The 15721-nt window shown below is 41.1% G+C and overlaps 2 annotated features.

Moving 5' to 3' along the window:
* Positions 13723 to 14268: an enhancer, noted in NCBI's record as "OCT4-NANOG-H3K27ac hESC enhancer chr4:58153565-58154110 (GRCh37/hg19 assembly coordinates)". NCBI's record gives its function as "activates a minimal SCP1, AML or CMV promoter by ChIP-STARR-seq in naive H9 embryonic stem cells {active_cell/tissue: H9 hESC(naive)}" and the evidence as "EXISTENCE:reporter gene assay evidence [ECO:0000049][PMID:30033119]".
* Positions 14269 to 14816: an enhancer, noted in NCBI's record as "H3K27ac hESC enhancer chr4:58153017-58153564 (GRCh37/hg19 assembly coordinates)". NCBI's record gives its function as "activates a minimal SCP1, AML or CMV promoter by ChIP-STARR-seq in naive H9 embryonic stem cells {active_cell/tissue: H9 hESC(naive)}" and the evidence as "EXISTENCE:reporter gene assay evidence [ECO:0000049][PMID:30033119]".

Genomic DNA, 15721 nt, shown 5'->3' with positions numbered 1-15721 from the left:
GAATTTCATATCCAGCCAAACTAAGCTTCATAAGTGAAGGAGAAATAAAATACTTTACAGACAAGCAAATGCTGAGAGATTTTGTCACCACCAGGCCTGCCCTAAAAGAGCTCCTGAAGGAAGCACTAAACATGGAAAGGAACAACCAGTACCAGCCACTGCAAAAACATGCCAAATTGTAAAGACCATCAAAGCTAGGAAGAAACTGCATCAACTAACGAGCAAAATAACCAGCTAACATCATAATGACAGGATCAAATTCACACATAACAATATTAACGTTAAATGTAAATGGGCTAAATGCTCCAATTAAAAGACACTGACTGGGTCAGGCGCAGTGGCTCACGCCTGTAATCCCAGCACTTTGGGAGGCTGAGATGGGCGGATCATGAGGTCAGGAGATCAAGACCATCCTGGCTAACACAGTGAAACCCCGTCTCTACTAAAAATACAAAAAATTAGCCGGGCGTGGTGGCAGGCGCCTGTAGTCCCAGCTGCTTGGGAGGCTGAGGCAGGAGAATGGCATGAACCTGGGACGTGGAGCTTGCAGTGAGCTGAGATTGGGCCACTGCACTCCAGCCTGGGTGACAGAGTGAGACTCCATCTCAAAAAAAAAAAAAAAAAGACACTGACTGGCAAATTGGATAGTGAGTCAAGAACCATCAGTGTGTTGTATTCAGGATACCCATCTCACATGCAGAGACACACATAGGCTCAAAACAAAGGGATGGAGGAAGATCTACCAAGCAAATGGAAAACAAAAAAAGGCAGGGGTTGCAATCCTAGTCTCTGATAGAACAGACTTTAAACCAACAAAGATCAAAAGAGACAAAGAAGGCCATTACATAATGGTAAAGGGATCAATTCAACAAGAAGAGCTAACTATTCTAAATATATATGCACCCAATACAGGAGCACCCAGATTCATAAAGCAAGTCCTTATGAGACATGACAGCATGCTGGCAGCCCTCGCTCACTCTTGGTGCCTCCTTGGCCTCGGCGCCCACTCTGGCCATGCTTGAGGAGCCCTTCAGCCTGCCGCTGCACTGTGGGAGCCCCTCTCTGGGCTGGCCGAGGCTGGAGCCAGCTCCCTCTGCTTGCGTGGAGGTGTGGAGGGAGAGGCGTGGGCGGGAACTGGGGCTGCACGCGGCACTTGCGGGCCAGCATGAGTTCCGGGTGGGCATGGGCTCAGCAGGTCCCGCAGTCAGAGTGGCCGGCCCGTGCCACTGGCCCCGAGCAGAGAGGAGCTTCGCACCCAGGCCAGCAGCTGCGGAGGGTGCGCCGGGTCCCCCAGCAGTGCTGGCCCACCTGCGCTGTGCTCAAATTCTCACCGGGCCTCAGCTGCCTGCCCGTGGGGCAGGGCTTGGGACCTGCAGCCTGCCATGCCTGAGCCTCCTTCCCACCATGGGCTCCTGCACAGCCCAAGGCTCCCCAATGAGCACTGCCCCCTGCTCCACAGCTCCCATTCCCATTGACTGCCCAAGGGCTGAGGAGTACAGGCACATGGTGCGGGACTGGCAGGCAGCTCCACCAGCAGCCCTGGTGCAGGATCCACTAGGTGAAGCCAGCTGGGCTCCTGAGTCAGGTGGGGACTTGGAGAACCTTTATGTCTAGCTAAAGGACTGTAAACACACCAATCAGCACTCTGTGTCTACCTCAAGATTTGTAAACACACCAATCAGCACTCTGTGTCTACCTCAAGGTTTGTAAACACACCAATCAGCACTCTGTGTCTAGCTCAAGGTTTCTAAATGCACCAATCAGCACTCTGTGTCTACCTAAAGGTTTCTAAATGCACTATCAGTGCTCTGTGTCTAGCTAATATAGTGGGGACTTGGAGAACTTTCATGTCTAGCTAGAGGATTGTAAATGCACCAATCAGCACTCTGTGTCTAGCTCAGGGATTGTAAATGCACCAATCAGTGCTCTGTGTCTAGTTAATCTAGTGGGAACTTGGAGAACTTTTGTGTCTACCTAAAGGATTGTAAATGCACCAATCAGCACTCTGTGTCTAGCTCAAGGTTTGTAAACGCACCAATCAGCACCCTGTCAAAAAGGACCAATCAGCTCTCTGTAAAACAGACCAATCAGCTCTCTGTAAAGTGGGCCAATCAGCAGGATGTGGGTGTGGTCAGATAAGGGAATAAAAGCAGACTGCCCGAGCCACCAGCGGCAACCCGCTTGGGTCCCCTTCCACACTGTGGAAGCTTTGTTCATTTGCTCTTTGCAATAAATCTTGCTGCTGCTGACTCTTTGGGTCCACACTGCCTTTATGAGCTGTAACACTCACTGCAAAGGTCTGCAACTTCACTCCTGAGGCTAGCAAGACCACGAACCCACCAGGAGGAATGAAGAACTCTGGACGGGAGGAGCAAACATCTCCAGACGCGCCACCTTAAGAGCTGTAACACTCACCGTGAAGGTCTGCAGCTTCACTCCTGAAGCCAGCGAGACCACAAACTCAGCAGAAGGAAGAAACTCCGAACACGTCCAAACATCAGAAGGAACAAACTCCGGACACACTACCTTTAAGAACTGTAACACTCACTGCCAGGGTCCGCGGCTTCATTCTTGAAGTCAGTGAGACCAAGAACCCACCAATTCTGGAAACAATTAGAGACCTACAAAGAGACTTAGACTCCCACACAATAATAATGGGAGACTTCAACACCCCGTTGTCAACATTAGACAGATCCATGAGACAGAAAGTTAGCAAGGATATCCAGGAATTAAACTCAGCTCTGCACCAAGCAGACCTAATAGACATCTACAGAGCTCTCCACCCCAAATCAACAGAATATACATTCTTTTCAGCACCACAACACACCTATTCCAAAATTGACCACATAGTTCAAAGTAAAGCACTCCTCAGCAAATGTAAAAGAACAGAAATTATAACAAACTGTCTCTCAGACCACAGTGCAATCAAACTAGAACTCAGGATTAAGAAACTCACTCAAAACCGCTCAACTACATGGAAACTGAACAACCTGCTCCTGAATGACTACTGGGTACATAATGAAATGAAGGCAGAAATAAAGATGTTCTTTGAAACCAACGAGAACAAAGACACAACATAGCAGAATCTCTGGGACACATTTAAAGCAGCGTGTAGAGGGAAATTTATAGAACTAAATGCCCACAAGAGAAAGAAGGAAAGATCAAAAATTGACACCTTAATATCACAATTAAAAGAACCAGAGAAGCAAGAGCAAACACATTCAAAAGCTAGCAGAAGGCAAGAAATAACTAAGATCAGAGCACAACTAAAGGAGATAGAGACACAAAAAACCCTTCAAAAAATCAATGAATCCAGGAGCTGGTTTTTTGAAAAGATCAACAAAATTGATAGACCACTAGCAAGACTACTAAAGAAGAAAAGTGAGAAGAATCATTAAGACACAATAAAAAATGATAAAGGGGATATCACCACTGATCCCACAGAAATACAAACTACCATCAGAGAATACTATAAACACCTCTATGCAAATAAACTAGAAAATCTGGAAGAAATGGAAAAATTCCTGGACACATACACCCTCCCATGACTAAACCAGGAAGAAGTTGAATCTCTGAATAGACCAATAACAGGCTCTGAAATTGAGGAAATAATTAATAGCCTACCAACCAAAAAAAGTCCAGGGCCAGATGGATTCACAGCCGAATTCTACCAGAGGTACAAGGAAGAGCTGGTTTCCTTCTGAAACTCTTCCAATCAATAGAAAAAGAGGGAATCCTCCCTAACTCATTTTATGAGGCCTGCATCATCCTAATACCAAAACCTGGCAGAGACACAACAAAAAAAGAGAATTTTAGACCAATATCCCTGATGAACATCGATGCAAAAATCCTCAATAAAATACTGGCAAACCGAATCCAGCAGCACATCAAAAAGCTTATCCACCATGATCAAGTGGGCTCCATCCCTGGGATGCAAGGCTGGTTCAACATACACAAATCAATAAACGTAATCCATCACATGAACAGAACCAAAGACAAAAATAACATGATTATCTCAATAGATGCAGAAAAGGCCTTTGACAAAATTCAACAGCCTTCATGCTAAAAACTCTCAATAAATTAGGTATTGATGGGACATATCTCAAGATGATAAGGGCTATTTTTGACAAACCCACAGCCAATAGCATACTGAATGGGCAAAAACTGCAAGCATTCCCTTTGAAAACTGGCACAAGACAGGGATGCCCTCTCTCACCACTCCTATTCAACATAGTGTTGGAAGTTCTGGCCAGCGCAATCAGGCAGGAGAAGGAAATAAAGGGTATTCAATTAGGAAAAGAGGAAGTCAAATTGTCCCTGTTTGCAGATGACATGATTGTATATCTAGAAAACCCCATCATCTCCGCCCAAAATCTCCTTAAGCTGATAGGCAACTTCAGCAAAGTCTCAGGATACAAAATCAATGTGCAAAAATCACAAGCATTCTTATACATCAATAACAGACAAACAGAGAGCCAAGTCACGAGTGAACTCCCATTCACAACTGCTTCAAAGAGAATAAAATACCTAGGAATCCAACTTACAAGGGATGTGAAGGACCTCTTCAAGGAGAACTACAAACCACTGCTCAATGACATAAAAGAGGACACAAACAAATGGAAGAACATTCCATGCTCACGGATAGGAAGAATCAACATCATGAAAATGGCCTTACTGCCCAAAGTAATTTATAGATTCAATGCCATCCCCATCAAGCTACCAATGACTTTCTTCACAGAATTGGAAAAAACTGCTTTAAACTTCATAGGGAACTGAAAAAGAGCCCACATTATCAAGTCAATCCTAAGCCAAAAGAACAAAGCTGGAGGCATCACTCTACCTGACTTCAAACTGTACTACAAGGCTACAGTAACCAAAACAGCATGGTACTGGTACCAAAACAGAGATATAGACCAATGGAACAGAACAGAGCCCTCAGAAATAATACCACACAGCTACAACCATCTGATCTTTGACAAACCTGACAAAAACAAGCAATGGGGAAAGGATTCCCTATTTAATAAATGGTGCTAGGAAAACTGGCTAGCCATATGTAGAAAGCTGAAACTGGATCCCTTCCTTACACCTTATACAAAAATTAATTCAAGATAGATTAAAGACTTAAATGTTAGACCTAAATCCATAAAATCCCCAGAAGAAAACCTAGGCAATGCCATTCAGGACATAAGCATGGGCAAGGACTTCATGTCTAAAACACCAAAAGCAATTGCAACAAAAGCCAAAATTGACAAATCAGATCTAACTAAACTACAGAGCTTCTGCACAGCAAAAGAAACTACTATCAGAGTGAACAGGCAACCTACAGAATGGGAAAAAATTTTTGCAATCTACCCACCTGACAGAGGGATAATATCCAGAATCTACAAAGAACTCAAACAAATTTACAAGAAAAAAAACAAACAACCCCATCAAAAAGTGGGCAAAGGATATGAACAGACACTTCTCAAAAGAAGACATTTATGCAGCCAACATCATCACTGGCCATCAGAGAAATGCAAATCAAAACCACAATGAGATACCATCTCACACCAGTTAGAATGGCAATCATTAAAAAGTCAGGAAACAACAGGTGCTGAAGAGGATGTGGAGAAATGGGAACACTTTTACCCTGTTCCTATGTGAGACTGTAAACTGGTTCAAACATTGTGGAAGACAGTGTGGCGATTCCTCAAGGATCTAGAACTAGAAATACCATTTGACTCAGCCATCCCATTACTGGGTATATATCCAAAGGATTATAAATCATGCTGCTATAAAGACACATGCACATGTATGTTTATTGTGGCATTATACACAATAGCAAAGACTTGGAACCAACCCAAATGTCCAACAATGATAGACTGGATTAAGAAAACGTGGCACATAGACACCATGGAATACTATGCAGCCATAGAAAAAGATAAGTTCATGTCCTTTGTAGGGACATGGATGAAGCTGGAAACCATCATTCTCAGCAAACTATCACAAGGACAAAAAACCAAACACCGCACGTTCTCACTCATAGGTTGGAACTAAACAGTGAGAACACTTGGACACAGGAAGGGGAACATCACACACCAGGGCCTGTGGTGAGGTGGGGGGTGGGGGGAGGGATAGCATTAGGAGATATACCTAATGCTAAATGACGAGTTAATGGGTGCAGCACACCACATGCTACATATATACCTATGTAACAAACCTGCACGTTGTGCACATGTATCCTAGAACTTAAAGTATAATTTAAAAAAAAAAAAAAGAAATGCACATGGAGAAAACCAAGACACTCCTGTCAACTGCTAAGCTCCAAGTAGATGACCAGTACCTACTGCCAGCAGTGTAAGCACACCAATTTGCACGTTTCAGCCCTGTCAGGTCCCTAGATGTCTGCAGCCCGGATGACATGACATCACATAGAAGAGAAGAATAGCCTGGCTGAGCCCAGTCAACCCACAAAGTTGTAACAGAAAATAAAATGTTTGCTGTTTTGTGCCATTAAATTTAAAGATGGTTTATTGCACAGTAATAACTAGAACACAACCCTTCTCTGGCCCCTGGGTTTCTGGAACAGGATGATTCTTATCATTAATTGGGGAAAGTTTTACTTGCAACGTCATTTGTTTAAAGGATTTAATTGAGAAATGTTTTCTTTTGTTCTTTCTTCCTTGATGAAAAGGTAAAGCTGAAATATTTCAAAGCAAACCATAATTACTATGTTGACTGACCCTTCTACAAAGAGCTGATAGGTGAATATTATGTTTCAGATGAAAGCTATCTAGAATTAGCCTCAACCCTTTATGGAACAACAATTTCCAAGACTAGTTAACGGTGAGACTGGGAAGCTATCTTGTAATCAGGAGTTCCGGTGAGACTGGGAAGCTATCTTGTAATCAGGAGTTCAGAGAAAGAAAATGCATATCTTGCAGCCCTTGTCACAACTTAAAAACAATTTGGGCTAATGTCTGTAAATAGAAAATAGCTATTAGCAAATCAATTAATTAGGGTCTTGTTGGCTTTTCTAGTGTCAACTCTAATTGTTTGTTTGATCTGAAGTATCCTTAGATTATTTACAATCATTCCTGCCAACCAACAAAAGACAATAAGGTTCGCCCTCACAAGTATGTGGGAGTTAGAGGATAGCTTTTATCCTAGATTCTTAGTCGTTGGCAATAATTTCAGAGACTAAGTATTTTCTTCAAGACAAAATCTCCTACTGAAGTTAATAAATGACCAACTTTCATAACAAATTTTCTAAGAGGGAAATAATTAATTAAATTTGCTTGGGGAAAAAAAACTCTAGATCCAGAGACATTTGTTCAGAATAAAATGACAAGAATATTTCTTTATGTCTTGTTTTTTTCCCTGCAGTTATTTTCTTGCATAGGGTCTGAGAAAGAAATCTACACTTCTGGAAGGAAACTGAGGTAGAGGATGAGTAATCACTCTATTCAAAAGCATGATCATACCTGGTGGCAGTACTCACAATCTGAGAAACTCTAATTGTATCTTTATTTCTCAAAAACACACTTGTCTTTTATCAATACATAAGTCAAGGTTATTTTTCTTTGTTCTACAGCACAATCTCAGCCTAATTCTTTATCTGATCGTTTTCCACTTTGTCATAAAAGAAAAGAATACAGGTTCCATTTTTAGCTTGAGAAAAATGGAAAATTCCCTCTCTGTAGCAAGCTGGAAAGTGGCTCTTATAACAAAATAATTACCTAATTAAAGTACTCACTTGAATCAGTTACCACAAGCCCAATTAAATCGAACTGCCAACAGGAATATATAATACCTGATAAGGAAGAGTTAGTGAGTAGATAGACACAGAGCATGAAGATCATGCTCTCCATTTAACTTAGGGAAGATATTATGTATTCTTCCCTTTAAAAGGTGCTATATTTTCCCAATGAAATGTTGTTTCTTAATATGCCAATGAAGCTACATACCTGGTAGTGAGAATGTTAAATACTTACCTGCTAATTCAGGAGCTCAAGGTCAGATGTGTACTTTGCCAATGAACTTCTAGTCAGGGGCTTATGGAAACAAAAGACATTAGTGACTAATTTATCATAAAATCATCTTGTTTCTTTTCCTTCATGGTGCAGTGCAGGCAGGTAGTGGTTATTCAGTGTGACTGAACGTATGACCAACAAAAAGAATGCCAAGCTTGAGGCAGCAGAGAAATGACAGTTCTCTTTGACCAAAGGAAAATATCCATCCACTCACTTCCTAACCAGAGAACCCTATTTCTTTGACTTCTGTGACATTTCTTTATCATGCTAGCTAAGCCAGCTTTCCCTTCTCACAGCATCCTTGCCATAGGCAAGAATCCTGGGCTTTTTTTCTCTTTTCTACTCTCAATGTCATCTATTTTGGTTTGTTTCCACATTGAGAAGAGCATCCAGGACACCCACCATTTCTCCCCTGCTCTGCCAGAGTTGCTGTTCCAGTGGAGGAAATAGAACATTCTGGAAAACAGAAAAAAAGAATATTGAATTGACATGTCAGACATGTCTGCCAGCTAACCAACAAAATATAATAAGGTTGACTTTCAGAGGACAGCCTTTATCCTAGATGCTTTTTCTCCAGTGACATATTCAGAGCCTAACCCTTTTCCTCAAGATGAAGTCTCTTATTGACATTAATACATGACTGACTTTCAAAACAAATTTTCTAAAAGGGCAATTATTAATTAAATTTGCTTGGGGAAGAAAAAAAAACCTAGATCCAGGGACATTTGTTCAGAATGAAGGAACAAGAGTATTTCTTTAAGTCCCAACTGGCCAGGTGGGAGGGAAAATACTTTGGAAAAAGCAGGTAAACAACAGCACAAGAGAAGTTTTTGAGGTCAATTTTTCAAAGAGACAGCAAAGAGCCAGCCCCCAAAGCCTCATTGTCTTTATTGCCAGTTCCTGCCCCCATGTACCCTTGTATCTTTAGAACAAGTTTCCTTTTTTCTGAAGATGTCTGAGTGAGTCTTAGTCGCAGCCTAACACAGGTGTGCGATGCTCTCCAAACTGTGAAATGACATTAGACACAACTAGTCACTGGCTAGATCCTGCTTGAAATGCAAAGTAAATTTTCCTGAGAAATTTGAAGTTTATAAAAATTCAGAAACTATCTACTTTAAATTATATGTGCCATATATCTTTCTTAAAATAGTTTATAGTTTTTACATTCATGTTACGAAGGTAATGTGATAGATATTTGACATTTGTAAAGCAGGGATTGGATATAAAAGATTCCATCTTTATGCTTTTGAAACCACAACAAAACCTAAAAATTTCTCCCCAGAAGGATGAATGCATTTGCCAAGTATTACTAATTTATAAGAGCTTTTTTTCTACTATCAGAGGAGAATTTTTTGACTTTGGTTCGCTGGCACTCATAATATTCACTCATTTTCCAGAACTAATATTCCACTCTTTTTTAAAACATTACCATTGCTTTTTCATAAATCCAAAATATCTTTGGGAAATTTCTGTGAGTCATTTCTCACTTTACCTCAGAGCCCTTTGAAGTCAGTGCGAGCTCTATGTGTGAATCAGCCTCGTGGAAAGAGAAGCCAGAGGAGAAACAGGGGAGGTACAAAAATATTCCAACATAGAGAGTGAGGCCTTCCTGTCTATGATGTGTCCCACAGGGCTGGGGTCAGAAATGGCTCTCAGGAGAGAATCCTTCAAGGAAAAAGAAAAACAGTTGCAAAAAATGGCCAAGAGCTAGCTGAAATAGGAAGGAGAAAAAACAGCAATTTAATATGAATTTTAACGAATGCTGATTCCAAGTTTCAGGAATTAGTTATGTATGAAGTTTGTTGGAAAGAGGTGGACTGAGCCTTGACTATAATTAAAACACAAGGTTGCCCAGAAGGCACCACTTTGGAACTTAACAGGTCTTTTCATGTCTCCTCCTAACTCCCCATTCTCAACCTCATGGCCCAAATCTCTTTCCTACTGATAACTAAAACATCCCCTGCAGTAACCCATTCCTCTGGGTTAGCTCTGCTTCACTGGGTGTTCTCTAGGAAAAGGGTACTGGGTTTTGGTGGTTTGAGTGGTATCGAGAACAGGGACAATAAAGTAAGAAGAAGCATCCCACAGAGCAGACTGAGAGAGGCACTCCCTTAGTAGTACACACAACAGGTGCAGGAGATGTGTTTAAATATTTTGTTGTCTTTCCAGAAAGCAAGTTGCCTGTTTTTCTTCTGCTGGTTTCCTGAAGTCATGTGGGAGACACCACTGGGAATGTCTATTCAGGCCATAGTGCTCCCTACTCTTTAAGAATTACTAGAACCACTCATACCATGGGCCTTTGGAGACATTAATGAGGTCATAAGAATGAGCTCCTGATCGGATAGGATTCATGTCCTTTTAGGAGAAGACACCAGAAAGCCTGACCAAGCTCTCTTTCTGTCTCCCACTCTCTGTTTTCTCTCCCCCTTGCTCAGAGAAAAGGACATGTAAGGACATAGCAAGAAGGCAGTCATCTGCAATCCAGAAAGGGAGACTCCCCAGAAACCAAACCCTGCTGGAACCTTGATCTTGGACTTGCCAGCCTCCAGAACTCTGAGAATAAATTTCTGTTGATTAAGGCCCACAGTCTGTAGTGTTTTGTTATGGCAGCCAGAGCATATTAATACATAGTACATATTCATATTCCTCCAAATTATGAAAAAAAATTCTTTTATTGCTATTTGCTTTTTTCAATGTGCGATCTCATTGAAAATCATGTATTGCATTTGATTGTCATGTCTCTTTAGTCTTTTTCAATATAGTACCCCCCACACACTTTTTTTTTTAATCATTCAAGCTACACCTTCATTTTAACTATCACTAAGGAAAAAAACAGTACCACCATTTATAACAATAAGATGTCATGGATTATAAAATGAATCCTATTAAATGTTGAAATTTAATATGTTAAAATGTGACCAGAAGGTGCATCCTAGAATTGAAGAAATAAAATATTTCTGTCTAGATTTGTTATGAAAAGAAAATTACAGATAATAATTAAAAGTTTAGAAAATACATCCCATAAGAAAAAGATTTTTTTTTAACTGAGAGTACTTAGCTGGGAGAACAGATTAAGAGGCAATTTTATAACAAGCTTTAAATTTATGAAGCACTCTTAAATGGAAGAGGATGGCAGCCTTTTTCTCATAATTCTAAGAAAACAGAAGAAGAAAAAAGAAAGCAAATGGGTTTAAATCATAAAGTAAGGGCTTTAATTTAGACATAAATTAAAGATATTTTTGGCCAGAAATACTTTCAAAAATTATTAAAAATGGCTGGGGAGTCTCTTTCTCCAGAGATGCCATCAGAATGTTTCAAGCTGAGAAACGAGCTTTTAGATAAATTTTGTTGAGCAAAGATACACGGCCTGGTGGGACAGGAGACAAAAAACATTTTGGAGGTAAAATATCAAGGGCTGAGGCACAGAAGTCATTATAAGCAACTCCAAGACATGACAATAATTTGTTTGGCTGAAGAATAAAGCCCAGGGAATCATGAGAAGTGTGTTTGTTAAGAATAAAAATGGAAGGCCCAGAAGGTTCTTGACAGAAAAAGAATTCAAGGATCAGTAAAGGACTACGGAAGTCAGACAAAGGGGCTGTGATGGTGACAGTATATAATGGGCAGTCACTCTTGATTACAGAATTGTTGGTTGCCTTGGAGTAAGAGAAGAGCAAGGGTGTGAAAACCAGCTAGAGAGGGAGTGCAGTGAGCCAGCCTCACACATCAACTCGGCATGTAACCATCCCCTCCCACTCCCCCATAGAGATAGCAGAAGCCTAAACGTCTACTGTTAGAACGGTTTTCTCCAACACTCTATAAACCCATTGTATTAGTTTGCTAGGGCTGCCAAAACACAAATACCCCAGACTGGGCAGCTTCAACAACAGAAATTTATTTTCTCACAAACTCTGGAGGCTGGGAAATCCAACATCAAGGTGTTAGCAGGGTTGGTTTCTTCCGAGCCCCCTCTCCTTGGCCTGCAGATGGCCATCTTCTCTCTGCGTTTCCACATGGTCTTCCCTCTGTGTGTGTTGTCTGTGTCCTAATCTCTTCCTATAAGGAGACCTGTTATATTGGATTAGGGCCCCCACCATGACTCCATTTGATCTTGACTGCTTCTTTAAAAGCTTTATCTCCAAATACAGTCACATTCTGAGGTACTGGAGGTGAGAGCTTCAAAATATGAATTTGGGGAGACACAATTCAACCCATAACACCCAATAAGCTATTGTCCATCCTTCAAAACTGAGGATCCTTAAGTTTCTGTCCAAGGAAAAATTAAGATGGGGTAGACAATTAAAACTTTGAGGACAGAGCACCCAAGGAGAGTGCAGGCTGTGGATTCTGAAGCCAAGCTTTGCCTCCTACACAATTTTGCCTGCTACTAGGCACCACATTGGAAATAAAACCAAAGAACGTCTTCCTTGTTTTTCTCATACTCATGGAAATACTGAGATTCCATGCCCACTGGAAGCCTTTATTAGTTGTAAGGTCGGGTCAGTCTTCACAATATGAAGCATGTTCCAAAATCTATTATCTAAAATATAATTCAAATCTCAGCTCCACGCTTCTTTAATTTTTGATAATGAGCATTTGGTGTTCAAGAGTACATAGCGTTATAAATTGAGGCAGCTAATAACCCTAAGAATTAGCTCCTTTGAAATCAGTGACAAGAGTACCCTCTCAGACTTTTTTTTTCTCTTGACCTTGACGTTCCACAACTGCAAATATTGCTGATGCTTTTAATTTCCTAATGATAGTTCTCCTTTAAGTGATTCTAAAGAACAGAAGTCTGTCTCTGGAAACAGCCTCTGATTAAACCCACCACCTTCTTCAATTCACCGGAATCACCCAATCATTCTGCCCTTGACCCCAGAACCTGGATTTGACCACAGAGTGTAATGAAAGGGGGAAGGGAGGGGATGATTGAACTCTGCAGTAAGATGTGCCTTAACAGCATGGTCCCATCAGAAGTCCCCTAATTTAACAACTCTACACCTGAGGCTGGGCTTCCATGAGATTTTTTATGCTGAGGCACCTTCTCTACTGAAGGCAGCAAGTGGGTATTGTCCTAAAGAAAATCCTCTAATTAGCACAAGGAGTCTTAAGAAAGTGTAACCTAAAATGTAGTCGGTGCCACAGTCCTTACTGATGAGAATTCCTAAGAAGCTGCCACCAGCCCCTCGGGAGGGATCCACTCTGGTGTGGATAGGAACTGCTGTACCCACTGCATAAGTGTTACAGGAATGTGTTGGGTTCCTTGGAATTCTTCTCCAGGGTAGAGCATGTCATCCACTGACAAAAAGAACACTTTCTTCATTCCAAATCTGCAGATGAAATGCATCTTCCCAGTTCACTCTTCAGGGCCTTCCTTATGCCCCCAAAGTAATTTTGAGGCATTCTACCTAATTTCCATGATAGCAGATTTATGAATATTTACTGATAGCAAGCAGTGGCTATAGGGGAGCCCCAGGAGAGGGCTCAACTTCACTGCATTAGTTTTAACAATAATGAAAGTTTCAAATGAGTCAACGTACCTTCCTTGGCGCATTACAAATAACATGCTACAGCTTAAAGATCTCAAAGCAAATGACTGAAACAATAAAATATGATAAGGTAAAGAAAGGGGGGAACTTCATCTCTTTCTAGAAAAAAATAACGAGTCCCAGAGGTTAGAAAAATTGCCTCTAGGTCAGAGGCAATTTTAGGAAAGGAGCTAAGATTGCAAGCCAATTGCTTTCTTTTCCTGGGCTTCCTTTAGTCCTTTGATCTGGGTCTTTAATGTGCCTTTCATTTATATGTAGATTTCTTTTAGGATGTAGATTTCTGCTTTCAGTTGGCTTTATAGCAACTTCCAAATTTTGACTTATTTGGAATCCCAAATAGACTTTTGCTGCTCTCTGGATATATTTTGAATATTTGCTTTTCAATAGCTTAGGTACAAAAGTTTCTGAGAACCTCTAAGTCTCTATACAACAGTGAGGTATAATTTTTGTTGTTCTATCCTAACAACCAAGAGTGAGATTAGTGAGATTTAACAAACTAGAGACTAAAGAATCCATCCATGGTCAAACGAATTCAGCATGTATGTACTGAGTGCCAACTACACACCAGGTACTTTTCTAGGCCCTGAGAACTCAGCAGTGAACAAGACAGAGACAAATTAGAGACATAATAAATGATTAAATAAGAAAATATGGGCCGGGTGCGGTGGCTCACGCCTGTAATCCCAGCACTTTGGGAGGCCAAGAGGGGTGGATCACGAGGTCAGGAGTTCGAGACCAGCCTGGCCATCATAGTGAAACCCCCTCTCTGCTAAAAATACAAAAATTAGCCAGGCATGGTGGCATGCACCTGTCGTCCCAGCTACTCGGGAGGCTGAGGCAAGAGAATCACTTGAACCCAGGAAGCGGAGGTTCCAGTGAGCTGAGATGGTACCACTACACTCCAGCCTGGGCAACAGAGCGAGACTCCATCTCAAAAAAAAAAGAAAAGAAAAGAAAAAGAAAATATGTTGTATGTGAGATAGGGATAAGTACTAAGATGGAAAATTAAGCAGAAAAAGGAGTTAAGGAATGCCAGAAAGAGCATTGCAACCAGGGCAGAGCTCTGGCTGGCTGGAACTCTGGGTGAGGTGGAAGCCACTGAAGGCTGCTGGGGAGAAAAGTGAGGACATGCTCTGACTGCTGTCCTGAGAATTGAATTGTAAGCAGAGGTTGCTAAACAAGCCTCCACATGAACCCAGGTAAGAAATGGTGGCTAAGAAGCAAGGCACTCACCTCCGGCCTGGCCCCTGAGAGGAACAGGCTTTTAGAATATTCTTTGGGGTCTCAGGGAGTGGAACACTGTATGTAAGATAGCATCACTGGGGGAAAACAGTTTACGATACAGGGAGCCTCTCTGCACTACCTTTGCAATGTCTTGTGAGTCTGTATCATTTCTGAATAAAAGGTTTACAATGGAATTATTTTATCAAGTCTAATCTTCCTGCATTAATTCTGATCTTGCTTTATTTCCTACTAATAACTTAAATCATCCTAGAACAGCTATGATGAGTAACCACTAGCCTTTGTGGGGAAAATAAAACAGCTTTCCTCTAAAAAGTAGACTATTTCAAGACTCATTCTTTACTCTTTTATGAACTTGTGAGAAAAAGGAAAATGGCTTTTGTTCTGTTTCAAAGAACATGCAATGGAAACCAAAATTCTATACACTGATCTTCAAACAGATTTAGCTGCTTTAGAATAGAGGATATCTTGGGCCTGCTGCATATACACACTTCTCTGGCAGGAGAGTGGATAGATGAGATGGTCCATAAATGCTGATAGAAAACCCATTAGCTGAATCACATTAGATTAGCCAAGTAGTGTTATTGAGGACATCTGAAAAACCTCAAGTGCTAACATCAGTGGACTACGCATTAAATAGAGGTGAGATAGCACCTAGAAGGACAAATGGAAATTCTTTCATTATTTAAAACAAATGTATCCATATTTCCTAAGCACTACCTATTCCTTTGATCATACACACGAAAGCTTCTTATCTGTCAGAAGAAAGCAGTTACTAAAGGCAAAGAACCAACCAGGGTTTTGATGGTTTGATACACAAGTCCCTTGCTGAAATGACTCCCATTGAGTCTGCCAAGTGCCCAGAATTAGGTATTGCTTTGCACTAAGTCATTATCTCTCTAAAAGGCCTTTGCAAAG

This window comes from Homo sapiens, chromosome 4 (assembly GCF_000001405.40).
Source record: "Homo sapiens chromosome 4, GRCh38.p14 Primary Assembly".
NCBI classification, from domain to species: domain Eukaryota; kingdom Metazoa; phylum Chordata; class Mammalia; order Primates; family Hominidae; genus Homo; species Homo sapiens.
Note: the sequence above shows the minus strand (reverse complement) of the source record. Positions and strands in the feature narration are given on the sequence as shown.